The following is a 24986-nucleotide window of genomic DNA, read 5'->3' as shown; positions in this document are numbered from 1 at the left end:
AGCCCCTACAAGACTCGAGCTCATCTTGGGACCAGAAATGCGCCCATACAAGTAGAAAGTGGAAGACGACCTTCCAGGCAGGGGACAAAACAGTCAGGAGGGCTGGAACACTTGGTCAGTGTTCAGTGTTCAGAAAACAAATGGACAGCCAGTATCTGAATCCAGGGATTAGGACCAAGTCTGTCCACCTAGAATAGACCCGGCACCATCACGCTTCTGGAACCCGGAGGTGCCAGAAGCCCCTGCCTGGATGTTTGCCCAGCTGATCCCAGTCCTGTGGCCCCAAGCACCTTCTTGGGGTCCATGTTGAACTTCTTCCTGCCCATTGCCATCTTCCGGTTCCGTTGCAAGGTCTTACTGCAGGAGCAGAGAGCAGGGTTGGGGGTGGAGGGTCAATGCCTGGGCATCCCTGGCCTCAGCCAACCCCACGCCCCCTAGGTCATCCGCCCCAGCCCTCACCTGCCCTCATTGGCCTCCAGCCCCTCCACCTCGCTCATGGCTTCACTGAGCTCCTCCCGCAGGCGCTGAATCTCCACCAGCAGCTCCTGCTTCCGCCGCCGGATGTTCTCCAGCTCCATCCGCTCCTCCGGAGTCAGGTCTGGGGGTTCTAGGGATCGGGGTCAAGGTTTAAAAGTCAGTGCTAGGGGCCGTGAGCCTGAATTCCTGCAATCTGGGGGCGGACAGAGCTGGGAGAGGATGTGTAAGGGGCTTCCTATGTCTGCACAGAAGAATGGGCTGGGGGCCTGGATTCCTCCCTGCAGAGGAGAAAGAGCTGGGGCTCTAAACTCTTGAGTCCTGGGGGACAAGGGGAATTGGGGCCCGGATTCCTGAGTCTGAGGGAGAAGGGGAATGGGTGCCTGAGCTCTTAGATCTGAGGGAAGAAAGGGCTGGGGGCCTCGGCTTCTAGGTCCATTACTTGGAAGGGGACTGAGGCCTTGGTTTTCTGACTCCATTACTGGCGAGGTAGCTGGGGACCTGGTTATCCGGACTACTGGGTCCATGAAAAGTCACTACAGCCGGGGGAACTGATGACAGCTCAGGAGAGTTGGGAAGGTGGGGCGGGACATCGAAGGCCCCCGCCCCCCAAGATTTCTCCCCTCCCCGCAACCCAAGCGCCCCTCCCCGGCCCCGGCAGGCGCTGGGCTCGCCCGCCCCTCCAGCGGGAATGGTTCCGCCCCGGCCTCGCCTCCACCACTCCATCCCGCCCCTCCCGCCGCCACCGGAAACAGGCTCAGCCCAAACAATGGCCTGGAACGCCCGGCTTTCGGGCCCCGCCGGAAGCCCGTCCAGCGCCCAACAAAAGCGGCGCGACAAGTCTACGACTGAGCCGAACGCTTCTGGGCGCCGCGCGCCAGGGGGAAACGTTCGCGGCGGAACGTTCAGGAGAAAACGCTCCAGCAACTCCCAGCCGACCCCGCCCCTCCCCGACCTACCATAGACGCCGTCCTCCATGGCGGCTAGGAAGGCCCGCGGGGAATCCGGGGCGGTCCCGCCAGTCGGGCCTGGATCCGCGTTGGCCCGCGGGCTCGGGTGAGCCCGCTCAAACGCCCCGGGAGCCACCGCCGCCTCCTCAGCGCCAGTCCTCAGCGCTGAAAAGACTCTTCCCTTCGTCGCCCAACCGCCCCTTCAGTAGGGACCGCCCCTCTTTTTGACACTGTCCAATCCACAGTGGGCGCTTTCGTCCTCCCCGCCCTCGCCACCAAAGGATCGTTCTCCAGGGCCAACAGTCGTACAAAAAGCCGGTGTAGGTATGTCCGGCCAGAGGTAGACGGCCCGCGGGGCCAATCGGAGTGCAGGCAGGGCAGCAGGCCCCGCCTCCGAAACAACAGAAAGCACTTGACAGGCTTGCTCTCCAATGAGAAGCCCCGGAAAAGTGTCGCGCGGAGGCGGAGCCACGCGGTACAGCCACCTCTGCGCCTGCTCAAAGGCCCTGGACACTTGGAGTCTAGGTAAACCGAGCCCCGCCTCCGATAATACGTTGCTAGGGGGCGGTACTTTGTTAGTCTTGTTGCTAGGAGGCGGGGCTAGAACTGGCTTGTTTCCGTAAGCCACACCTCCTAGCAGGCCATGCTGGCTTCTGACCGCAAAGGTTGCCATGCAACCGGGAGCGGCTTTAGGCCTCCTTTTCTTTTGCATTTCTTCTCCGCGTATTTCCCCTCCTCTCAGCCCCTTCTTACCGCCGAACTCCTTCTTTATCACCATCTATGCCCTCCCCATCCCCCTCAGCCTCTTCGGAGTCGTGGAGTGGTGAAACAAAAGACTTCTTCGTTTTTTCTTTTTTTTTTTTTTTTGAGACAGAGTCTTGCTCTGTCGCCCAAGCTGGAGTGCAGTTGCGCGATCTCGGTTCACTGCAACCTCCGCCTCCCGGGTTCAAGCAATTCTCCTGCCTCAGCCTCCCGAGTAGCTGGGATTACAGGGTTGCACCATGATGGTGCATGCCTGGCTATTTTTTGTATTTTTAATAGAGACGGGCGTTTCACCATGTTGGCCAAGCTGGTCTCGAACTCCTGACCTCATGATCCGCCCACCTTGGCCCTCCAAAGTGCTGGGGTTACAGGCGTGAGCCACCGCGCCTGGCCAAGATTTACTTTTTTCTAAATGCTATGCTATTTGGTATCGGTCATGGGGAATGGAACAGGGGAAGGTGAAATTTAGTGAAAGCACAGGCTCGGCCTTCCTGGCACCTTCTGCCGCTCAGACTCCTCCCTCATTTCTCCAAACTCCTTCCTTTAGCTTAGCATCCTCCTAAGACTCCTCCCTTCCCCAAGCATCCTCCTGCTAAGACAACTCCCCTTTCCTCAGCATCCTCCCACCTCTCTGATTCCTTCTCCCATCTCAGAGGCCTTTTTTCCTCTCTGGCTCCCCTCACGTCACGGTCCCCCTTGTCCTCTCATACTCTTGCCCTTTTTTTTTTTTTTTTTTTTTTTGAGACAGAGTTTTGCTCTTTTGCCCAGTCTGGAATGAACTGGCATGATCTCAGCTCACTGCAACCTCCACCCACAAGGTTGACGCGATACTCCTACCTCAGCCTCCCAAGGAGCTGGGATTATAGGCGCCCACCACCATGCCCGGCTAATTTTTGTATTTTTAGTAGAGACGGGGTTTCGCCATGTTGGCCAGGCTGGTCTCAAACTCCTGACCTCAGGTGATCCACCCGCCTCAGCCTCCCAAAGTGCTAGGCGTGAGCCACCGTGCCCATAGGCGTGAGCCACCGTGCCCAGCCACCCTTGCCCTTCTTAAACTCCTCCCTCCTCTGAGGCCCCTTCCCCTTCCCCTTCCCCAGCCTCTATGTCCCATTATTTGTAACGGAATGTGGTCAAGGGACTGGCTGGAATAGGGAACCCAGGCACCCCTGTAAAGAGGGAAGCCGTAATGGGGGCTGAAGTGGTGTCTGGGCCTCGTCCTCATTTGCTGTCCCTGGGCTGGGCAGGTGGAGACGGATTCAGGGCCAGGACCTAGTTAAGCTGTCGGATTAGACATGGAGGCTCCTAATCCCCTCACTGACCTTTATGAGTGGCCCAGGCCCTGCCCTCCCCAGTGGAAACCCAGGCTGGGCTGCCCTGCTCCCATACTCCTTTCAAACGAAACCCCCTCCCTGCCCCTTCACTTCCAACTTAACATCCTTCCCCAACCCTGCGTTTCCATTGCCCCCATCCCTACCTACCCCAGACACCCTGAGCTGAGAGAGCAGCCAGCTAATTAATCCCATCCGGTTATTACATGGGGATTCTGAGGGATAAAGGGAGATGGAGAAGCTGGAGGGGGCATTTGGGTTGATGCAGCACTTGTGAAGGCTGAATGGCAATGACAGTGGCTGCCCTCGGTCCAGAACACGGGGTGGGAACACGTCCTCCTCACTGTCACTGGCTCCCTCTGCAGTTGGCTCCCAGCCTGCGGGGCACTTAGGTAGATGGTAGCATGGGCAGGGGGCCAGGTCGGAGGACCCATGCTCGAGAAACACATTCGCAGACACATCCGCTAGGGCTCCCAGTTCTTTAATCTGGGGGACAGGTCTCCCCCTAAAACACTCACTCTCCCACAATGGGAAGAACCCTGGTGTCCAGAGCTACCTCCTCCTCCCCAGGTCCCCAAGCTAGGCCAGGGAAGTGACTCTGGCTGTTAGCCACAGCCCACGCCTACCCTTGCCCTGTGATTCAGACACCCGAGTTCAGAGCCAGCCTCCAAGAGTATCTTACATCCCAGCGTCTCCTGGAAGGCCGTATGATCCAGCACTGGGGAGAGGAGGGAAATCCCCAGGACTCGAATGCCCATCCCACCCTTGGTGTAGTGAGGACTCATCCTGCTGGAAAGGCCCCTGAAGAACTTCAAGTTCCAATATCCCGTTTTTACAGATGGGGAAACTGACATGAAGAGGAGTCCAAAGTGACACAGTAAGTTGGGGCAGCATTGGGATTTAGAGCAAAGCTTCTGGGGTCCTTGAAAAGGACCTCATTCCAATTAGCTAGCACTCCATCTCTAAGCCTGTTGTAGGGACCAAGGGAAAAAATAGATAGATATCTGTATTTATATTACATATATATAATATACATATGTATAATATCTTTAAGAAACAGACACACGGCTGGGCATGGTGGCTCACACCCGTAATCCCAGCACTTTGGGAGACCGAGGCAGGTGGATCATCTGAGGTCGGGAGTTCAAGACCAACCTCGCCAACATGGCGAAACCCCGTCTCTACTAAAAATACAAAAATTAGCCAGGCATAGTGGCTCATGCCTGTAATCCCAGCGACTCAGGAGACTGAGGCAGGAGAAACACTTGAAGCCGGGAGGCGGAGGTTGCAGTGAGCTGAGATCACGCCATTGCACTCCAGCCTGGGCGGCAGAGCGAGACTCAGTCTCAAAAAAAAAAAAAAAAGAAAAAGAAAAAGAAATAGACACACATCACTAGGTGTAGGGTTCCAGAGCATTCTAGACTCACCAGCCCTGGGCCTCCCCCTTCCCTTGTCCACTAATTAGCCCTGTGCCCTACAGGGTCTCACCTTCACCTTCACCTTCCAGGTCAGGCCAGAAATGTTGCTTCTGAAGTCCTGAGTCCACCTCCTAGCACTGCCAAGCAGTCCACCTGGAGGTGATGAGAACTTCCAGGCTTTGGTAATGGACAACTCTGTATCCCTGGAGCCTTCATTCCTTTTGGCATTACAGAACCACAAGAAGTCATCTAGAATCATTGAGATTCTCAACTCCATTGGGCAAACTGGAACCAGCAAAATCTCAGATATCTAGAATTGCCACTGCTTCCTTGACTCTGTGATCAGTCTACAGCCACAGAATCCTGATTCCCTTTGGACATTCTAGAATGGCACTTTAAAAAAAAACAACCCACCCAGTGGATCCTTTCAAAGCACTGCTTATTCTCTTGGCTGGGTGCTCTACAGCCAGAAGTTGGAGTTATCTAATATCAAGAACTCTTAATCTGTCACTTCAGTCTTTCTAAACCCACAGACTAACAATGTTTTGTGCATTCTAGAAACATTACTCTTTAGTTTCTGGAGTAGTTCAACTCTCCACGTAAAATCTGTCCTAGACTCACCAGTGCTTGCCTCTGTGGTCAACCTAGACTCACAGAATCTCAACTAATGAGCTTTCTGGAACCACAGGTCTTTTTTTTTTTTTTGGTCTTTGGTCAATCAAGATGATCTTGAATACTTGGGGCATTCCATAACCTTCCCTCCTTAGGTGGTCTAGAACAAATGATTTGCTACTCAGTTGGCTGAGTTGAGAAGCAACACTCCCTTGAATCTTAGGTGAATCCAGACCTACAAACTCTTGATATCTGATGCTGTTCAAGAACTGCCAACTTGCTTCCCCAGAGGCAGTCTATACCATTGGCTTCTCACCCTGGTCAACAATCCAGGTCTCCCCATATAGAGGAATCTAGAACTGCCAGTCTTTTCCTCTTGGGTGATCCAGAATTCTGGTGAGACTGAGGAATCAGGCTCATAAAGGGTTCTCAGGAGGGAGCACAGAAGCAGAGGAATTAAGGTCCAGTATGTCCATGGTGGGTCACCAGGCATGGCAGAACCTTACCACCTAGTCATTTACCCAGCAGGCCTGTCGGTATTCAGGAACACCTGCCCCCATCCCAGGAGAGAGCCCCATCCCTCCATCTTGCTACCTTGGGGAAGGGGGCATACACGGGGAAGGGGACATCAGTTTGCATCATGGAGGCAGGGTCAGCGCCAGGGTTGGTGTGAGAACTCGGGGGCTAGCAGCCCCATCTTCTGTTTCCACCCCATTCCCTTCCTCAGTCTCATCGTCCTCATCTTCCTCCTGGCAGCAGCTCAGAGCAAGTTCATTCTCATAACAAAATGCAGTCAGAGAGCCGGGGAAACTAGACTTGAGGCTGTGGGAAGCCTGCTCTGCCCGTTCATCCAGCTCCTTAGCACTGCAGACCGGTGTCCCTGGGACCTCATAAGTGCGATGGAAGTGGCGATAGTCGACCTCATACTGGGAGCCACGCTGGAAGAGAACTGGCTCAAAACGATGGCCCCAGAGCAGTTCACCAGGGAGGTAGGACGAGCGACACTGTGTGGTCATGGCTGTGGCCTCAACCATCCCCTCGAGAATGACCACCAGCTCAAAGTCAGCCCTGGCCAGCTCGGCACGTCCTAGCTCATACAGAGGACTGGCAGAGTCGATCTCATGGACGATGGTGATGGGGGACACGAGGAAGATACGATCGGTGCCTCCATCAAAGCCCACATCCACATCCTGGTGGTCCAGCGGGATGTACTCACCCTCTGGGGTCACACGGGGCTGCAGCAGGAGGCGAGGAGCCAAAGACAGCAGGGAGCACAGAGACGGGCAGAGACGAAGTGAGAGAGAGGAAGAGATGCAGAGAAAGAAGGCAAAGACCACAGGAGTGAAGAAAAGGGTGAGAACACAGATCAAGAGATGGGGCCGGCAACCCAGAGAGAGAGGAAGTCAGAGAGGCAGGGGAGGGCACAGAAACCCAGTAAGGGAGCCAGAGACCCAGGAGGGGAGGATGGAGGTCCAGAGAAAACATGGGACATGGGACAGAGACCCAGAGATAAAGAGAGAGGAAAGAGACTCAGGGTTTGGGGGTAGAAAACGGGAAGAGGGGCGTGGTGGGGGAAGAGGAGAGAGGGACAGAGTGATATTGGCATAGAGACACAGAAATCAGCAAGACAGAGATGAAATCAAAGCGACAACGGAAAATAAGGATGACATTCAACAGAGAATTGGAGAAGGAGCGGGAGAGAAAAATGGCTTTTAGTATGTGGCCAGAGAAAGATAAATCAGATGACAAGAAGGGGGAGTTAGGGCAACCTAGGTCCAACATTCTGCACCCACCACTGCCTCAGGCTTATCCCTGGGCTCTCCCCTGAGCTATCCTAGCTGTCAGGGCAACTGCAAACCCTTCCATGTCATTCTGTGTGTGAGCACGCTTTGTGGGGGTGTGGGTATTTCACCCCCGCCTACCCGCTGGTTCCATAGCCACCTCCCAGGCCAAGTCACTGCCCCACCGACTTCTGCAAGAGCCAGTGTCCCTCCTATTCATGAATCCTGGTATCTCAAAGCTTCAGGCAGGAGATTGAAGTGGGAGGTGGGCATCTATCCTCCTCTTGTAAGTGTCTCTGGAAGCCCCAAGTAGAGGAACCCCAGAGGCGGCTGGGAGTTGCAGCTCCCACCACCCCCGATCCTCTCCAAGTCCAGCCTCAGCCCAGAGTCCTAAAGTCACTTTACTTGGGCCACGGCAGCTGCCGGCCCAGAGTTTCTTGGGAACGGAGATGTTTGAGCAATTTGACCACAATTCTAGGAACGCTAAGGCCCCTTCCTCAGGGCAGGGAGGGAGCCAGTACCCCAGGGGCCAATGGGAGGTGCAGTTTCGTTTCGTTGCCACCTCCACCCTGCTCTCAGAGGTTAGGAGGCTGGTGGGACACAATGGGCCACTGAGGTGGGGAATGAATTCTCCCACAGATGCCGCAGGACCCCACACCTAGAGGCCTGGAGAACTGTGCTCCACAGCGATGAGCTGCACCCATTCCAGGGCCTGCTTCTCCCGGGGGCCTCAAGTCACAGGCCTCCGACTGTGCCACAGTGTCCAGTGGGAATTGTACACCCGAGTAATAGAACGGTCACGCAGGCCCTCCACCACCCCCTCGCAAAGCTGCATCTGAGGCCACCCCATCTTTGGACAGGTCCCTTGACCCAGAGGCTTCTGGGAATTACGGCCCAGAGCCTTGACAGGCCAGGCGTGGCCCTTTTGGGGTCTACCCACAGGCGGGCAATCCTCAAGCCACAGGAAGCTCTGTATGCCCCAAATCCAGGCCTCCAGGAAGAGCTGGTCACATACCTTTCTGTTGGGTTTACATCCCCAGCTGCCCAGTGACCCATTCGCAGGCCCCAGGCCCAAGAGGCTGCTGGGAGTTGTAGTCCACGCCCCCTCCAGGACCGCACGCCCCTCGCCCTCGGGCCTACATCTCCCACAATCCCCCAGGGCTCACGGAAGTCCCCGCCTCTCCTCCCGGGCGCACCTGCAGCAGCTGGGCACGCACGTGGGCCTCGACCAGGTGGCTGCGGCGCAGGTTGCCGACGCGCCACATGAGGCAGAGGCGGTGGTCGCGCAGCGCCACGACGGCGTTCTCGCTGAAGACCAGCGTCTCGTTGCGCTTCTTGGGTTTGGCCATCTTGGCCATGACAGCACCCACGACGAAGGCGTCGAGCACGCAGCCGGCAATGCACTGCAGCACCACGGCGGCCACAGCGGCCGGGCACTCCTCGGTGACGCTGCGCACGCCGTAGCCGATGGACGTCTGCGTCTCCAGCGCGAAGAGGAAGGCGGCCAGGAAGCTGGCCACGTGTGAGAAGCAGGGCGCGGGCGGTGGCGGGGCGGCCAGGTCGCCGTGCAGCGAGGCAATGAGCCAGAAGGCCAGGCCGAAGAGCAGCCAGGAGGCGAGGAAGGAGCAGGAGAAGAGCAGGCACATCCAGCGCCAGCGCACGTCCACGCATGTGGTGAACAGGTCGCTCAGGTAGCGCGCGCCCTGGCCACCCAGGTTTACGAAACGCACGTTGCAGTGCCCGTCTTTCTTGACGAAGCGACCGCGGCGCCGGCCCACGGGTGACTGCACCGGTGCCGGCGCCCACCCGTTGCGGCACAACCCGGGCCCGGCCTCCTCTTCATCGCCCGCCCGGCTGTCTCCCGAATCCAGGGCGCCGCTGAGGCGGCGTAGGGCCCTGGCCAGGCCCATTGGACGGAGGGACCCCCTCCACTTGGCCTAGTGGGGGGCAGGCGCCCCCAACCTGCTGGGACAAGAAACCGGCAGAAACGTCAGGGGCAACAGGAATGGATGAGCTCATCGGCCAAGCATGCTTTCTGGTGGGGCTTAGTGGCCTCATCTGTCAAATAGGTGGAACGATACGCATTTTTTTTTTTTTTTTTTTTTTGGAGACAGAGTCTCGCTCTGTCGCCCAAGCTGGAGTGCAGTGGCATGATCCTGGCTTACTGCAATCTCCGCGTCCCAAGTTTAAGCGATTCTCCTGTCTCAACCTCCTGAGTAGCTGGGATTACTACAGGTGCACACCACCACTCCTGGGTAATTTTTTTTTTAACTTTTTTCTTTTCTTTTCTTTTTTTTTTTGAGACGGAGTCGTGCTTTGTCGCCAGGCTGGAGTGCAGCGGCACAATCTCAGCTCACCGCAACCTCAGCTCACTGCAACCTCTGCCTCCCAGGTTCAAGTGATTCGCCTGCCTCAGCCTCCCAAGTAGCTGGGATTACAGGCACGGGCCACCATGCCTAGCTAAGTTTTTGTAATTTAAGTAGAGATGGGGTTTCACCATGTTGGCCAAGATGGTCTCGATCTCCTGACCTCGTGATCCGCCTGCTTTGGCCTCCCAAAGTGCTGGGATTACAGGCGTGAGCCACCGCGCCTGGCCAGCCACCTTCTTTTTTAAATTTTTTTTTTAATTTAATTTTTATATTATAGAGACAGGGGCCTCACTATGTTGCCCAGGCTGGTCTCAAACTCCTGGCCTCAAGCGATCTTCCCTCCTCAACCTCCCAAGTGCTGGGATTACAGGCCTGAGCCACCCCACCTGGCCCATACTCACCTTCCAAGTTGGAAGATAAACAGCAACAATACTATAGAAGATACTTGTACAACAACAACGGAAAATACTATAACAATAACGATATTATAGCAAGTGCCACAATAATTACAGCATGCATTTATACAGTGCTAAATCTATGTACTGAATTCATAATTTGTGTTCTATCAATTATACTGTTTATACAATTTGGAGGTTGTTGTAAGTACTTTACATGAATTTACATATTTGAACCTCAGAGCAAGCCTATGAGGCAGACATCATTATCCCCATTTTCTAGATGAGGAAACTGAAGCACAGAAAGTTTAAGCAACTTCCCCAAGACTGCCGGGTGTGGTGGTTCATGCCTGTAATCCCAGCACTTTGGGAGGCCGAGGCGGGCGGATCACCTGAGGTCAGGAGTTCGAGACCAGCCTGACCAACATGGAGAAACCCCATCTCTACTAAAAATACAAAATTAGCCGGGCATGGTGGCACATGCCTGTAATCCCAGCTACTAGGGAGGCTGAGGCAGGAGAATCGCTTGAACCTGGGAGGTGGAGGTTGCGGTGAGCCGAGATCGTGCCATTGCACTCCAGCCTGGACAACAAGAGTGAAACTCTGTCTCAAAAAAAATAAATAAATAAAACTTCCCCAAGACCACAGGTAAGTAAACTGGGATTTGAATGCTAGCCATCCAGCTCCAGGGTCCATGCTCATAATCGTAAGGTGTAACTGCTTCTCAGCATGGAGAGATGCCTCAGGGCTCTGAGGTCAGCTGTGGTTCAAAAACAGGCTCACAAAGTAACAAAAGGAAAAAATCCATCAATTGAATTGCATCAGAACTAAATAACTTTTTTTTTTTTTTTGAGATGGACTCTCACTTTGTCACCTAGACTGGAGTGCAGTAGCGCGATCTTGGCTCACTGCAATCTCTGTCTCCTGGGTTCTCCTGCCTCAGCCTCCCGAGCAGCCAGGATTACAGGCACATGCCACCACGCCTGGCTAACTTTTGTATTTTTAGTGGAGATGGGGTTTCACCATGTTGGCCAGGCTGGTCTTGAACTCCTGACCTCAAGTGATCCTCCTGCCTTGGCCTCCTAAAGTACTGGGATTACAGGCGTGAGCCACTGCACCCGGCCAGAACTAAAAAACTTTTGTGCTCCGAAAGACACTATCAAGAAAGTGAAGAGAGGCCAGGCGAGGTGGTACACACCTGTATCCTAGCGCTTTGGGAGGCTGAAGCAGGAGGATCATTTGAGCCCAGGAGTTCATGACCAGCCTGGACAACATAGCAAGGGGCTTGCTCTACAAAAAAATTAAAAAATTAGCCAGATGTGGTAATGCAAACCTGTAGTCCTAGTTACTTGGAAGGTTGAGGTGGGAGGATTGCTTAAGCCCAGGAGTTTGAGGCTGCAGTGAGTTACGACTGTACCACTGCACTCTAGCCTGGGCGACAGAGCAAGACCATGTCTCAAAAAAGCTTTTTAAGAAAGGGAAAAGACAACCCACTAATGGGAGAAGATACTGTAGTTGCAAATCATATACCTGATGAGGAACTTGTATCTAGACTATATAAAGAGCCCTTGCAACTCAATCATGAAAAGATAAGTAACACCCCCCAAACTTTTTTTTTTTTTTTTTTTTTGGAGACGGAGTCTTGCTTAGTTGCCCAGGCTGGAGTGCAGTGGCGCCATCTCGGCTCACTGCAAGCTCCGCCTCCTGGGTTCACGCCATTCTCCTGCCTCAGCCTCCCGAGGCTGGGACTACAGGCGCCTGCCACTACGCCCGGCTAATTTTTTTTGTATTTTTAGTAGAGACGGGGTTTCACCATGTTAGCCAGGATGGTCTCGATCTCCTGACCTCGTGATCCGCCTGTCTCGGCCTCCCAAAGTGCTGGGATTACAGGCGTGAGCCACCACCCCCGGCTTTTTTTTTTTTTTTTTTTTTTTTGAGACGGAGTCTCACTCAGTGGCCCAGGCTGGAGTGCAGTGGCGCAATCTCAGCTCACTGCAACCTCCACCTCCTGGGTACAAGAGATTCTCTTGCCTCAGCCTCCTGAGTATCTGGAATTACAGGCTCATGCCACCATCCCAGCTAATTTTTGTATTTTTAGTAGAGACAGGGTTTCACGATGTGGGCTAGTGCCAAATAACCCAATTTAAAAGTGGGCAAAGGGGGCCAGGCACAGCAGCTCACGCCTGTAATCCTAACACTTTGCGAGGCCGAGGAAGCTGGATCACTTGAGCTCAGGAGTTTGAGACCAGCCTGGCCAACATGGCAAAATCCCGTCTCTATTAAAAATCCAAAAATTAGCCGGGCCTGGTGGTGCACATCTGTAGTCCCAGCTACTCTGGAGGCTGAGGCACAAAAAAAGTAGGCAAAGGATCTGTACAGACGTTTCTCCAAAGAAGGTATACAAATGGCTCATAAACATATGAAAAGATGCTCAACATCATTAGCCATCAGAGAAATGCAAATCAAAAGCACAAAGGAATACCATTTTGCACCCACTTAGAATGGCTATAATAAAAAAAACAAGTGTTGGCGAGAATGTGGAGAAATTGGCATCCTCATACACTGCTGTGGGGAATGAAAAATTGCAGCTGCTGTAGGAAGCAGTCTGGCAGTTACTTAAATGGTTAAACATAGAATTACCACATCACCCAGCAATTGCACTCCTACTTATGTACCCAAGAGAAATGAAAACAGATGCAAAAACTGGTACACAAATGTTCACAGCAGCATTACTCATAATAGCCAAAAGGTGGAAACCCAAGTATCAACCAACTAATGAATAAATAAAATGTGGTATATTCATCCAATGAATAGTATTTGACAATAAAGAGAAATGAAGTATCGATAGATGCAACAACATGGATAAACCTTGAAAACATTATGCTGGCCAGGTGCGGTGGCTCGCACCTGTAATCCCAGGACTTTGGGAGGCCAAGGTAGGCAGATCATTTGAGGTCAGGAGTTCGAGACCAGCTTGGCCAACATGGTGAAACCCCGTCTCCACTAAAAATAACAAAAATTAGCCGGGTATGGTGATTACAGGCGCGCACCTGTAATCCCAGCTACTCGGGAGGCTGAGGTGGGAGAATCACTTGAACCCGGGAGGTGGAGGTTGCAGTGAGCTGAGAGTGCACGAGTGCACTCGAGCTTGGGCGACAAAGCAAGACTCCATTTAAAAAAAAAAAATTAATTGTGATGGCTGCACAATTGTGAATACACTAAAAGCCATTGAATTGTACCCTGTAGTGAGTGTATGATATGATATGTGAATTAGATTTCAATGAAGCTATTGTAAAATAAATGAAATGGGCCTCATGCCCGACCCTCTGATCTTTGGCAACTCTTTCTGAGTCTCGGTTTCCTCCATTGTAAGGTGGGGAAATTGGGACTTCTTAAAAGACCAGGAAGGGCCTTCTTACCATATGGATGAGGGCCCAGTCCTGGCTTAGTTGCTCACCCACCATGTCCCCTGGGATCTCTGGCTTCTTTTTCCAGAGACTCAGTTTGCTCAACCATTTACTAGGTGTGTGATGGATGACAGGTCAAATCCTTTCCTGAGCCTCAGCTCTCATCTGTGAAAGGCAGGAGGCCTGGGGGCTGGGCATGGTGGCTCACACCTGTAATCCCAGCACTCTGGGAGGCCAAGGTGGGAGGACTGTTGGAACCCGGGAGTCTGAAACCAGCTTAGGGAACATGGCGAGACCCTATCTTAAAAACAAAAAGTATCCAGCCATGGTGATGCAGCTACTGTGGAGACTGAGGTGGGGGATCACTTGAGCCCAGAGTTCAAGGCTGCAGTGAGCTATGATGCTCTACCACTGCACTGCAGCCTGGGCAACAGAGCAAGACCCTATCTCTTAAAGAAAAAAAAAAAAAAAAGAGGGCAGGTGCGGTGGCTCACACCTGTAATCCTAGCACTTTGGGAGTCCAACTCAGGAGGAATGCGTGAGGCCAGGGGTTTGAGAACCAGCCTGGGGAAGACAGCAAAACCCTGTCTCTAAAAAATAAATAAATAATTAAAAATAAAAAATAAAGGAAGAAAAGAAATGGAGGGAATCGCAGCAGCCTGTCAGGGTGGACCAAAGGAAAGGGCTGGGCATGGACCCGCACCCCTCATTGCCTTCAGGGTTCACTGCAACGTTACCAAACGCTTGGCCCTGTGGTGGGGAACTTCCCAGGAACTGGCTGGATCAGGACAAACCATTCCAGGGGTTAAATAATTTGTGCTGGAACCTGGGGATCCTCAGGGGCTTCTTGGCAGGGCCTGGCACACTCCATTTGGAAAGAAGACCATGAGACAATGTCAAGTTTGGCACCAACTGGGTCTCCCAAAGCCCTGCACCTGCTTCCCACAACCACGCAGGCAGCCTGGCCATTCGCGAGGGTTCATTAGGCCCACTTGACAGAGGCAAGGCTGAGGTGAGGGGACCAGCCTGGCTGTGTCCAGTGCCCACAGTGTACCCCAACCTTGACTCTATCTCACCCCTGACAACCCTGCATGTTAGAGACTGTTCTCCCAAAAAGGGGAAATAGGCTCGTTGCCCAAGGGGGCGGCCTGGAGGTCAACATCAGGATGCAGCATCTACACCTGCAGCCCTCCCCAGCCTGGGGATCCCCACTCAGCACTGACTCCACCCTCAGGAACCACCCCCGTGGGCTGGGGGGGCAGGTGGGCACTGACACTGACCTGTGCTCCCCAGGCCCCAGCCTGGGCCTCTCACCCCCACTTGCCCATCTCTCACCAAAGCCCTTTGATGAAGGGACCTGGCTTTTCACAGAAAAGCCAACTGGGGCTGAGGTTAGTCCCTTGTCGCAGGTCTCTCAGCCAGTGGGGAGAGGAGTGGCAAAAGCTAGCCTCCCACCCAGGCCTCCTGGGAGCCACGGCCCGAGTGACAAACCACAGTCTTCTCAAGAGCACTCTGGTTTCAAACACACCTGGTATGTACGAGGCCTCGTGATGAGCTCCCGACATGCCCACAGCCCCCACTGGACTCTCAGACCCCACTGCTCACCTTGGCCGCTCAGGATGCCGGGAGGTGAAGATCATCACCCCCTTTCACAGTTGGGGAACAGGCTCAGGGAACGCCATGAGCTGGCCAGGCCCCCGCAGTGCCAGGGGGAATGCTGGTTGGGTCCTAAGCCTTTCTTTCCTTCCCAGAGTTCTGCCCTCGAAATCCTCCAGTCCCACCTCAGCCCCGTGAGGCAGACCCGTTGTCTACTTCCCAAAGCCAACGGGAACCTTCACCAGGGGGCCATCTGCGGCCAACATGGCCCAGCTCCCAGGCTGGCTGCGACTCAGGCTCAGGGCACCCCCCTCCCCTAGCAAAAGCAGGGCGGGAGGGAAAGGGATCCTCCACCTGACCTGCGAGAGCAGCTTAATGTTTCCATATAAAGGAGATACAGGGCTTAAGGTGCTTCAACTTCGTGTCAAAGTCACTGTCTAATCTGAGGCCAAGAAGCCCCGCCCCCAGGCCCCACCCTCACCCTCCCAAATCAACACTCTCACTCTTCCGAAACCAGGGGTGTTCCCCACCACTCCCCACCTACTGGTGGGGGCTGGACAGCAGGTTGGAAAGCAGAGACTACAGAAAGACAAAGAGATGCAGAGATAGGCAGGAGGAGGGGTGTTGAGAGGGTGCCCCAAGAAAAAGTACAGGGACCAAGCAGGACAGGGACCCTGAGAGAGAGGGGGACAGAGACCCAGAGAGGGCAGCAGGAAAGGGACATTGATCCAGAGAGAAAGGGACAGAGACCTTGAGAGAGGACAGAGACCCAGAGAGAGGGGAACAGAGACCTTGAGAGGATAGAGACTCAGAGACAGAGGGGGACAGAGACCCAGAGAGAGGGGGGGACAGAGACCTAGATGGAGGGGGACAGAGAAGATAGAGGCGGACAGGGCAATTGGGAAAACGAAAAGGAGAAAAGAAATGTTTTAAGAAATGGCGACATGGGGAGATGAAATTGTGAAGACAGAGAGAGGCAGAGAGAGATGGGAGAGACAGAGATGGGGGAGAGAGACAGAGACAGAGACAGACAGACTGAGAGGGTTTCTCTGAAAGGATGGAAGCCAGTGAGAAAATGCATAAAATGGGGATGGGGTGAGAGTTGGAGGCACTGAACCTGGGGGTGGATTCTCCTGGCGCTGAGCCTGTCACTGATGGGAAGACAAGGCCTTCTTGAAGGGGACAAGCTGAGGACAGGGATGCTGGGGCAGGGGTGGATGGGGGCGACGCAGCAGAGCAGGAGGGGATGGCTCAGCGGTGCCTTGCATGGAGGCACGTACCTGTTGGGGCGGCCCACCCCCATGCCCTCCGCTGGGGGCTCCTCGGCTAGGGCTGAGGGGAAGCCTCTGTGGGTGCTGAGGGGCTGTAGTCTGTCCTTGGTCCCAGGGGCCGTGTGACGGGCACCCGACCTCGGAGTCCACAGATGGATCAGAGGCTGGATGGAGGGGGGCCGGGGGTGGGGCTAGCTCAGAGCCGCAGAGGGGGAGCCAGGGAGGCCAGCCAGGCAGAGCGGCTGGGCCACAGCCCAGGCAGGCTGGACAGGAGACAGCGGCGGAGGAGCGAGACAGCGACTAGGGGGCAGGGAGACTGGCAGTGGGGGACGGGAGACTCTGAAAGAGGGGGACACAGAGAAGAAAGAAAGAAACGTGATAAAGGGGAGATGGACGGAGGGAGAAATGGGGGGTCCAGAGTTCCCTGAGATGAAGCCTTCATAAGCTGGTGGGGGTCAGGGATGAGGCCCCTTTCACTAAGCCAGAGTGAGTTCCAGATGGAAGGACACTTAGAGAAGGCAGAACGCGGCGGCACCCAGTGGGCGGAAGGTTGGGTTGCACTGGACTCCCAGTGGCCTCCCCCAGCCTAGCGGCCTGGGGGCAGCTGGTGCCAAATTCCTCCCCACCCCCAAACTCCCCCCACACCCCGTTTCCTCATAGGGCTGTGGCCAAAGGACCAGAGTCTCAAATACACCTCAGGCCTCTTCCTGGTCCTTTATTGCTGCTCAGGAGCCCTGACCTTCCTCCCGACACAGCACCAGCCTCTAAAGTCAGGGAGGAGGGGAGAGGGTCGCATGTAGCCCCCACACGGAGAAATCCTGGCCAAACCCAGCTGGCAGGAAGACAACGGGCAGAAGCAAATTGTGTTGGAGGAACCCACACCTCCAATTTGGTGCAGCCACTGTATATCCCCCGAGTCCCCTGCTGGGAACCAGCAGCCAAAACTGGGTCCTGAGCCGGACGCGGTGGCTCACGCCTGTAATCCCAACCCAGCACTCTGGGAGGCCGGGGCGGACAGATCACTTGAGATCAAGAATTTGAGACCAGCCTGGCCAACATGGTGAAACCCCGTCTCTACTAAAAATACAAAAATTAACGGGGTGTGGTGGCACATGCCTGTAATCCCAGCTACCTGGGAGACTGAGCTGAGAGAATCACTTTAACCCAGGAGGCGGAGGTTGCAGTGAGCCAAGATCGTGCTACTGCACTCCAGCCTGGGCGACAGACCAAGACTCCGTCTCAAACAAACAAACAAAAAACTGGGTTCTGGGGACACAGGTCAAATGGGTCACAGCTGACAGGAAGGAATCCGACACACAGGCCACACCAGGCCACACAAGTCTCTGGGTGGGAGTGGTCTTACAGAGCCCTGGTTAAACCGAGTTCTTTGGTGAGAGGGGTCACTGGATCAGAGCCAGGCCTTCTAGAGAACAATACGTCAAACAGAATCCATCACGGCAGCCCACAGGCCGGCCAGTCTCAGTCAACAGACCTGAATGAACCCCTTCCAGGGGAGCCCAATTCGACTTCAGTTTCCAAGCAGGAAGCAAGATCAGAGCCAGTGGGACGCCTCAGACGCTGATGGTGCGGAAGATGGTGAAGCCTGACAGCGCCGTGCTGACCAGGAGCCCTGGGCACTGCGGGTGCCAGTGCAGCTCCTTCAGCTCGGTCTCGCCCTGGTGCACGAACAGCAGCTGCTGCGGGAGGTCGGCCAGTCCGGGGTCGGCCTCCACGTCGCCCGCCTCAGGGTCCCGCTCCACTGCCAGGTCCCACTGTGTGATCTGGTGGTCTGCACCCGAGGCTGCAAAGACCCCGCTGTCCTGGGGGTGCCACTCGACGGAGGTCACGGGGGCCACGTGCTGCTTGAAGGTGGCCACTGGGGAACCAGACTAGAGGGAGAGGATGGGAGGAACGGGCTCTGAATGCCTCAGCCTGACTCTGGGGAGGACCCAGGCAGAAGCCCCAACCCTTCTCCAGCCTCAGGGTTCAGCCAGGGCCCCACCCCTTAAGCCCTCACAAGCCCAGAGTCCAGGAAAGGGACACAGGGTAATTCTGGCTGCTAAGAAGGCTGACCAGCCCAGGGGTTGCTGGGAACTGTGATTCACCTGCAAAGAAGCCCCTCCCAGCTCAGGTAGCAAAACCCCCGCCCCTGCTCTTCCCTCTGCCTGCCTGTTTTCTTCCTTGTAAAAGGAGGGCATGGGCTGGGTGCGGTGGCTCACGACTGTAATCTCAGCACCTTGGGAGGCCAAGGCGGGTGGATCACCCGAGGTCAGGAGTTGGAGACCAGCCTGAACAACATGGTGAAACCCCATCTCTACTAAAAATACAAAATTAGCCGGGCTGGTGTCACATGCCTGTAATCCCAGTTACTCAGGAGGCTGAGGCAGGAGAATCGCTTGAACCCAGGAGCGGGAGGTTGCAGTGAGCCGAGATTGCGCCACTGCACTCCAGCCTGGGAAACAAGAGCAAAACTCCATCGCAAAAAAAAAGAAAAAAAAAAAAAAAAAGAAAAAAAGGAGGGCATGGCTCTCCCAGAGCTCTCCCAGCAGATTCTACAAAGGCCTCAAAGGAGGCAGAAACACAATCCCCGGAAGCCGACCCAAAGAAAGACTAAGAATGACAGCACTTTCACTACAGCAAAGGCCCCGCTCAATTGGCGTCTCTCTCATTAGGAGAGGCTGCTCTGAAGTTCCAATGGTCAACAAGCTGGGCCCTGTGTGACCTGGTGGGCCTGGGAGGCTGGAATCCGTCTCCAGCCTCCTCCCCAGGGCTGACGCTATAGAAACGATCAAACTGGAGGAGAAAAAGGATGACATCATGGCAGCCCGGGAAGGCAGAGCCACACAAAGCTGCGGCTTTGTCCAGAGGGATGCCGGACGCTGCAACTTCTCCTGCACAGGGACCCTCCCAGCTCCACAATGTCAACCTCTAGCTTGGCTGTCATGTCACAGCGGCTCCTGTCCTTTCTGTGCCTCAGTCTTCTCCTACAACGAGCAGGCTGGGCCCCGATTCTCAGTTGCATCTAGAAATCTACAACTCTCTGAAGCTCTCAGCACTGGCCGTACAGACACCTGTACTTCTGCCCACAGGCAGATGAGAGTCCTAGTCTCTGCTGCCCCAGCCCCTTCCATCTCTTGTCAGCTGTTCCCCTGGTAGAGTGAGTGACCCCAAGAGTGGAGACCCGCCACCCTTCCTCTTGCTGAGCCTCAGTTTCCTCCTCTGTACCCTGAAGAGGCAGGAGTCTAGTTCTAAGGGCTCTCCAGCTCTGGTTGTGTAAAACTATTCAAGGAGGAAAAATCCTACAAATCCCAGGGGCTGCTGGGAGCAAGCTTCTCTAGCCCCCAGGTGTCCGGCTGGGAAAATACCTTGAACTGCCGAAGGTCCCAGATCTTGAGGGCCCCATCATCCCCGCCACTGAGCAGGAAGGGCTCCCGGCGGCTCCAGCTGATGACATTGACGTCCCCATCATGGGCGGTGGCTGTGGTGAGCATGCAGGCCTTGCTGGGGGCTGCCCGGATGTCCCAGATGCGGATGGAGGCGTCAGCTGAGCAGGAGGCAAACACCTGGGGGAGGCGGAGTCTGAGTGGTCCCAATGCCCCCCAGCCCGCAGTGAAGCCCAAGCGCCAGCGGTGGGCTACTCTCTCTTTCACTGTTCCCCTTACTATGACTTGGCCTGGAAACTAAACCTCCGTCAGGCTCCCAGCCCTCTTTTCCCTCAGACCTAGGATTCTAGGTCCCTGGCCTAGAATCCATCAGAACTAAACGACCAGAACCCCACCCTCCCTCACCGTGTTCTCAGTCGGTGACCACTGCAGGTCCTCCACAGAGCGTGTGTGGCCCACGAATGGCCGCTGGTCCACGTGCCAGGAGCCGCCGTCCGTAGGTGTCCAGAGGTGGATGTTCTTTTGACAGTCACCGGTCAGCAGGCGACCTGGGGAAGGGAGTCAGGAAATGACCTCGCCCCACCTGGCCGCAGCTCGCTCCCCTCCTTGGAGTCTAAGCGCCCGGCCCCTTGTTGCAGACCCTGCTCCCCCGACCTCCCGGGACTCCTGAACACCCCAGGGACTCACCGGTCACCCGGGGGGACCAGTCAAGGGCAAAGCCCTCGCCCATGTGTCCAGCGAAGGAGAAGATGGGCTTCATTTGGGCCTGCTCATCCCGGAGGAAGGCTGCCAGGGCCTGGGGCTCCTCCACCACCTGCAGAAGCCGCCGCAGCGCAAACACCTCCACCTGGCCCTTCTCTGACCACACCCCAGCCACAGGCTCTTCACCCAGCCATGACACCTGCAGAAGAGCGGTGGGGGAAGGGTGATGTGAAGCGAGGGGAGAGGAGGATCAAGGCACTGACCCCACGCTCCCCATATCCCAGAGAACCAGAAGTGCGCTTCCTCAGATCTCCCAGGCCTGGGACTACAGCTCCTTGAAACCTCTGTGGGAAGAAAATCACAACCTGCAAAAACCAGCATGGTAACTGGGACAGCTCTCCACAGGGGGTGGGAGTGGGTGGGGGAGCTGAGGTGGGAGGATAGAGCCCCAGGATGCCTGGGAGTTGAGGCTGCAATTCCCACCAGCCCTTGGGAGGGTGTTCAGGCTCCTGGTCTCGGTAACCCTCTAAATGCTAGAAGGCCACAAGACTCAGTCCTCGGATCTCCTTGCCTCTGTGTTTGTTCACTAGGAGACCCAGTCCAGCCACGAGGTTTCCAATACCCCTAGCCCTGACCTCTCCCCTGGGCTCCAGACTCTTACTGCATTGACCGTTCAAACTTTTTTGTTTTTGAGACAGGGTCCCGCTCTGTTGCCCAGGACGGAGTGCAGTGATGCCATAATGGCTCACTGCAGCCTCAACCTCCTGGGCTCAAGTGATCCTCTCACCTCAGCCTCCCAAGTAGTTGGGACTATGGGTAAGCACCATCACATCTGGCTTTTAAAATTTTTTTGTAGAGACAGGGTCTCACTTTATTGCCCAGGCTGGTCTGGAACTCCTGGTCTCAAGCGATCCTTCTGCATCAGCTTTCCAAAGTGCTGGGATTACAGGCATCAGCCACTGTGCCAGCCTGACCATTCAAACTTGATACAACCAAAGCCAAGCTCCTAATTGCCACCTGCAACTGCTCTCTCTCCACCTCAGGCCCCAAAATTCAGAACTCATTCTTGGTCCTCATGCCCAGCACCTATGCTGACTACAGTAAAAATGCTCACTTCCAGGGCCAGGCGCGGTGGCTCGCACCTGTAATCCCAGCACTTTGGGAGGCCGAGGAGGGCAGACTGCCTGAGGTCAGGAGCGAGACCACCCTGGCCAACATGATGAAACCCCGCCTCTACTAAAAATGCAAAAATTAGTCGGGCGTGCTGGTGGGTGGCTGTAATCCCAGCTACTTAGGAGGCTGAGGCAGGAGAATCGCTTGAACCCAGGAGTCAGAGGTTGCAGTGAGCCGAGATCGCACCATTGCGCTCCGGCCTGGGCGACAAAAGCGAGACTCTGTCTCATCTAAAAAAAAAAGCTCACTTCCAACCCCCTTCTCATGATGTCTATTGCTGTCACACTACTACTGATGTCATCCTTCCCCTGAATACCGTAAGTCTCCCCACAGGATTCTTTCCTCCGACCCTTACCTCTCTGCAATTGATATTTAAGGACAGCAGCCAGAGGGACCACTTTAAAACAGAAGTCAGACCCTGTCTTTCCTCTGCCTGAAACCCTCCAACGTCTCCCAATTAAAAGCTGGAGTCCTTACAGTGGCCGACAAGGCTCTGAACAATGTCTTCTCTGTGCCCGCTCCCCAAATTGTGTCATTCTCCCTTTTGTTCATTCTGCTCCAGACAGACTGGACACTCCCGCTTCACTTGAAACTCTTCAAACATGCCAAGCTCACCCCAGGGCCTTTGAACTTGTGTTTTTCCTTGCCTGCAAATTCTTTTACAGGGTTCACTGCCCCACTACCTGTGAGTATCTATGCAAATGGCATTTTATGACAGAATACTTTCCTAACCACACTGTTTAAAAATAGCACCCCACTCCTGGAGCACCCTAACCCTCTTCCCCTACTTCATTGGATTTTTTCCAGGATAGTTAACACCTTTGGACATGGTACACATTTACTTAGTTTCATCTCGTTCCCTTCCCCCACTAGTGTGTAAGTTGATGGAGCCAGAGACCTTTTGCTTGCTGCTAAATCCTCTGCATCTAGAACAGTACTGAAACATAGTAAAAATAATTTCATGGAAACAGACAGCCCCAGCTATCAGCCAAGTACTGCTCTAAGTGCTCTTCATATACCGTATCATTGTACTTACAAGTCTACCTGATCAGAAGATGTTTTAGCTTTGAAGCAAAAAACAAATAAACAGGCTGGACACAGTGCCTCATGCCTATAATCCCAGCATTTTGGGGGCGAAGGTGGGCAGATCACTTGAGCTCAGGAGTTCAAGACCAGCCTGGCCAACATAATGAGACTCCATTTCTACTAAAAATACAAAAATTACTGGGCATGGTGGTGTGCACTTGTGATCCCAGCTACTCGGGAGGCTGAGGCAGGAGAATCACTTGAACCTGGGAGGCAGAGGTTGCAGTGAGCCAAGATCACGCCACTGCACTCCAGCCTGGGCAATGGGAGTGAAACCATGACTCAAAAACAAAACAAACAGCCACAACCAAAAACAGTTCCTGAATAGTAACAGAAAATACATACCTCATATTACAACCAGGTGCTATTCTAGGCACTATATGTTATTTCATTTGACCTCATGCCAGCCCCATCAGATAAGTTCTATAACTCACTATGTTACCAAAGAGAAAAGTGAAGAACATAAACCATATCCTCATAATCTAAAACAGTACCTAACATGTAATGACACTGATCATAATAGCTAAATTGTATAAAACTATGTGACAAGTACTTTTCTAAAAACTGAAGGAGGCCGGGTGTGGTGGCTCACGCTTGTAATCCCATGACTTTGGGTGCCCGAGGCGTGCGGATCAATCACTCGAGGTCAGGAGTTTGAGACCAGCCTAGCCAACAAGGCGAAACCTTGTCTCTACTAAAAATACAAAAAATTGGCCAGATGCGGTGGCTCACGCCTGTAATCTCAGCACTTTGGGAAGCCGAGGCAGGCGGATCACGAGGTCAGGAGTTCACCACCAGCCTGATCAACATTGTGAAACCCCGTCCCTACTAAGAATACAAAAATTAGCCGGGCGTGGTGGCGCGCACCTGTAATCTCAGCTACTTGGCTGAGGCAGGAGAATCGCTTGAACCTGGGAGGCAGAGGTTGCAGTGAGCTGAGATCATGCCATTGCCCTCCAGTCTAAGCGACAGAGCAAGACTTCATCTCAAAAAAAAACCAAAAAACAAAAAATTAGAAGGGCCTGGTGGCAGGCGCCTATAGCCCCAGCTACTTGGGAGGCTGAGGCAGGAGAATCCCTTGAACCTGGGAAGGGGAGGTTGCAGTGAGCCAAGATCGCACCACTGCACTCCAGCCTGGACAACAGAGCGAGACTCCATCTCAAAAAAAAAAAAAAAAAAAATGGGCCAGGCACGGTGGCTCACGCTTGTAATCCCAGCACTTTGGGAGGCAGAGGTTGCAGTGAGCCGAGGCTGCGCCACTGCACTCCAGCCTGGGTGACAGAGCGAGACTACGTCTCAAAAAAAAAAAAAAAAAAAAGAACATGAGGAGGTGTTGGGAGTTATGGACACAGGGGATGGGTCAGATGTGTTTCAGAGTATGCAGAGCAGGCTCCTGGGACCATACTTACCCGAACTCGGTTGATGCCACCATAGTGGGGCACCATGGCCAGCTCCAGCTGAGGTTTCCGCTCTTCTTCATCCTCTTCATCTTCCTCCTCTTCTTCTTCATCACTGCCCTCTGAGGGTGGGGGCTTTGTCCCATGCAGATTGTGCATCCGAAGCATCATCAGTCTGGGAGAAATTGTGGGGTGAGTTAGGCACTAGATTCCAGGATTCTTAGGAAGGAGAGAGGCTGGAAACCCAGACTCCTGGATCTGCGAGAGGCAGAAACTGGAAGCCCTAACTCCTGGGTGCTGAGGAAGGGGCTGGAAACTGAGCCTCCTGGTCCTGGAAAAGCCTCGGGTCTTACCTGTTGCTCTGGGCGCTCTCAGCCTGGGTCCCAGCACACAAGTAAAGTGTAAGAGGAAGCTCTGTCCGGTTGTCTCCCAGGTGATCCCGGACTATGTCAAAGCTGAGACAGGGGGCGCCTGGGGATGGAAGGCGGGGTTTACGAGTTAAGACGGGACAGTAAGAGCTCAGTCCCCACCTCCCTCATGGATCAACCGCCTCCGGTATGAAATCACTTCTCTTAGACCCCAGCCTTCTCTTCCCGAGCACCTCTCAGGTTAAAGGCTCGGGATCAGCCACCTCAGGACCCTGGAGTCCGGACTCAGCCCTACCAGTCTGCGCTCGGTGGTAGAGCACATAGGCCTCCTCGTCCATGACCAGCTCCTCCCCTTCGCGTAGCGGCGGCCCCCGGCCGGGCAGGTAGACCTGGGCCGGGCCCTCGGAACTTGTGTCGCCGGACTCGGCTTCCATGGGTTCCCCGGTTTCACACGTGCGCCGCCGACCCTTGCGCGCCGCCATCTTCGAACCCTCTCGCTGCTGACACCCGGTAA

General features: G+C 54.6%; 3 protein-coding genes and 1 long non-coding RNA gene across 8 annotated transcripts in view, besides 6 other annotated features; 1 reads left to right on the top strand and 3 right to left on the bottom strand.

Annotated features, from left to right (window-relative positions):
* The window catches only part of CYTH2 (cytohesin 2), a 12946-nt gene extending 11355 nt beyond the window's left edge, over positions 1-1591 (bottom strand). For 3 of the 5 annotated variants that reach the window (NM_017457.6, NM_004228.7, XM_047439683.1), the window contains exons 1-3: positions 1434-1591; positions 460-607; positions 291-357 (exon numbers count right to left, since the gene is read on the bottom strand). In NM_017457.6, coding sequence (NP_059431.1) covers positions 291-357; positions 460-607; positions 1434-1452 — 234 coding nt within the window. In that variant the 5' untranslated portion in view covers positions 1453-1591. Of the gene's footprint in view, positions 1-290; positions 358-459; positions 608-916; positions 1322-1433 lie in introns of those variants that run through there. The other 2 variants (XM_006723472.3, XM_047439682.1) reach the window with 1 other exon arrangement.
* Positions 939-1932: an enhancer, noted in NCBI's record as "H3K27ac-H3K4me1 hESC enhancer chr19:48972285-48973278 (GRCh37/hg19 assembly coordinates)". NCBI's record gives its function as "activates a minimal SCP1, AML or CMV promoter by ChIP-STARR-seq in primed H9 embryonic stem cells {active_cell/tissue: H9 hESC(primed)}" and the evidence as "EXISTENCE:reporter gene assay evidence [ECO:0000049][PMID:30033119]".
* Positions 1386-1575: a silencer, noted in NCBI's record as "silent region_10881". NCBI's record gives its function as "represses an Ori minimal core promoter by ATAC-STARR-seq in GM12878 lymphoblastoid cells {active_cell/tissue: GM12878}" and the evidence as "EXISTENCE:reporter gene assay evidence [ECO:0000049][PMID:35858748]".
* Positions 1427-5549, top strand: LOC105372430 (uncharacterized). The gene is made up of 3 exons (NR_186576.1): positions 1427-1949; positions 4353-4391; positions 5022-5549. It is a non-coding gene; the product is annotated as an uncharacterized LOC105372430 (long non-coding RNA).
* Positions 1990-2490: an enhancer, noted in NCBI's record as "H3K4me1 hESC enhancer chr19:48971727-48972227 (GRCh37/hg19 assembly coordinates)". NCBI's record gives its function as "activates a minimal SCP1, AML or CMV promoter by ChIP-STARR-seq in primed H9 embryonic stem cells {active_cell/tissue: H9 hESC(primed)}" and the evidence as "EXISTENCE:reporter gene assay evidence [ECO:0000049][PMID:30033119]".
* Positions 2126-2285: an enhancer, noted in NCBI's record as "active region_14897". NCBI's record gives its function as "activates an Ori minimal core promoter by ATAC-STARR-seq in GM12878 lymphoblastoid cells {active_cell/tissue: GM12878}" and the evidence as "EXISTENCE:reporter gene assay evidence [ECO:0000049][PMID:35858748]".
* On the bottom strand, positions 3980-15386 carry KCNJ14 (potassium inwardly rectifying channel subfamily J member 14). The gene is made up of 3 exons (NM_013348.4): positions 15102-15386; positions 8522-9290; positions 3980-6779 (listed from the first exon to the last, which is right to left on the bottom strand). The coding sequence occupies exons 2-3, from the start codon at positions 9233-9235 to the stop codon at positions 6183-6185; spliced, it is 1311 nt and encodes a 436-aa protein (NP_037480.1). The 5' UTR covers positions 9236-9290; positions 15102-15386; the 3' UTR covers positions 3980-6182.
* Positions 8413-9371: an enhancer, noted in NCBI's record as "H3K27ac-H3K4me1 hESC enhancer chr19:48964846-48965804 (GRCh37/hg19 assembly coordinates)". NCBI's record gives its function as "activates a minimal SCP1, AML or CMV promoter by ChIP-STARR-seq in primed H9 embryonic stem cells {active_cell/tissue: H9 hESC(primed)}" and the evidence as "EXISTENCE:reporter gene assay evidence [ECO:0000049][PMID:30033119]".
* On the bottom strand, positions 13938-24977 carry GRWD1 (glutamate rich WD repeat containing 1). The gene is made up of 7 exons (NM_031485.4): positions 24768-24977; positions 24458-24575; positions 24117-24279; positions 20434-20647; positions 20152-20294; positions 19729-19926; positions 13938-18252 (listed from the first exon to the last, which is right to left on the bottom strand). The coding sequence occupies exons 1-7, from the start codon at positions 24952-24954 to the stop codon at positions 17935-17937; spliced, it is 1341 nt and encodes a 446-aa protein (NP_113673.3). The 5' UTR covers positions 24955-24977; the 3' UTR covers positions 13938-17934.
* Positions 24897-24986: an enhancer, noted in NCBI's record as "active region_14896". NCBI's record gives its function as "activates an Ori minimal core promoter by ATAC-STARR-seq in GM12878 lymphoblastoid cells {active_cell/tissue: GM12878}" and the evidence as "EXISTENCE:reporter gene assay evidence [ECO:0000049][PMID:35858748]".

This window comes from Homo sapiens, chromosome 19 (genome assembly GCF_000001405.40).
Source record: "Homo sapiens chromosome 19, GRCh38.p14 Primary Assembly".
NCBI classification, from domain to species: Eukaryota; Metazoa; Chordata; class Mammalia; order Primates; family Hominidae; genus Homo; species Homo sapiens.
This window is presented reverse-complemented; position numbering and strand designations above follow the sequence as displayed.

Coding starts and splice junctions, on each gene's coding strand:
- KCNJ14 (NM_013348.4), bottom strand. CDS start 9,235: ATGGGCCTGGCCAGGGCCCTACGCCGCCTCAGCGGCGCCCTGGATTCG. Junction 6,780..8,521: donor TGCGTGCCCAGCTGCTGCAG/GTGCGCCCGGGA, acceptor CTCCTGCTGCAG/CCCCGTGTGACCCCAGAGGG.
- GRWD1 (NM_031485.4), bottom strand. CDS start 24,954: ATGGCGGCGCGCAAGGGTCGGCGGCGCACGTGTGAAACCGGGGAACCC. Junction 24,576..24,767: donor CTACCACCGAGCGCAGACTG/GTAGGGCTGAGT, acceptor TTCCATCCCCAG/GCGCCCCCTGTCTCAGCTTT. Junction 18,253..19,728: donor GGGACCTTCGGCAGTTCAAG/GTATTTTCCCAG, acceptor CTCTCCCTCTAG/TCTGGTTCCCCAGTGGCCAC.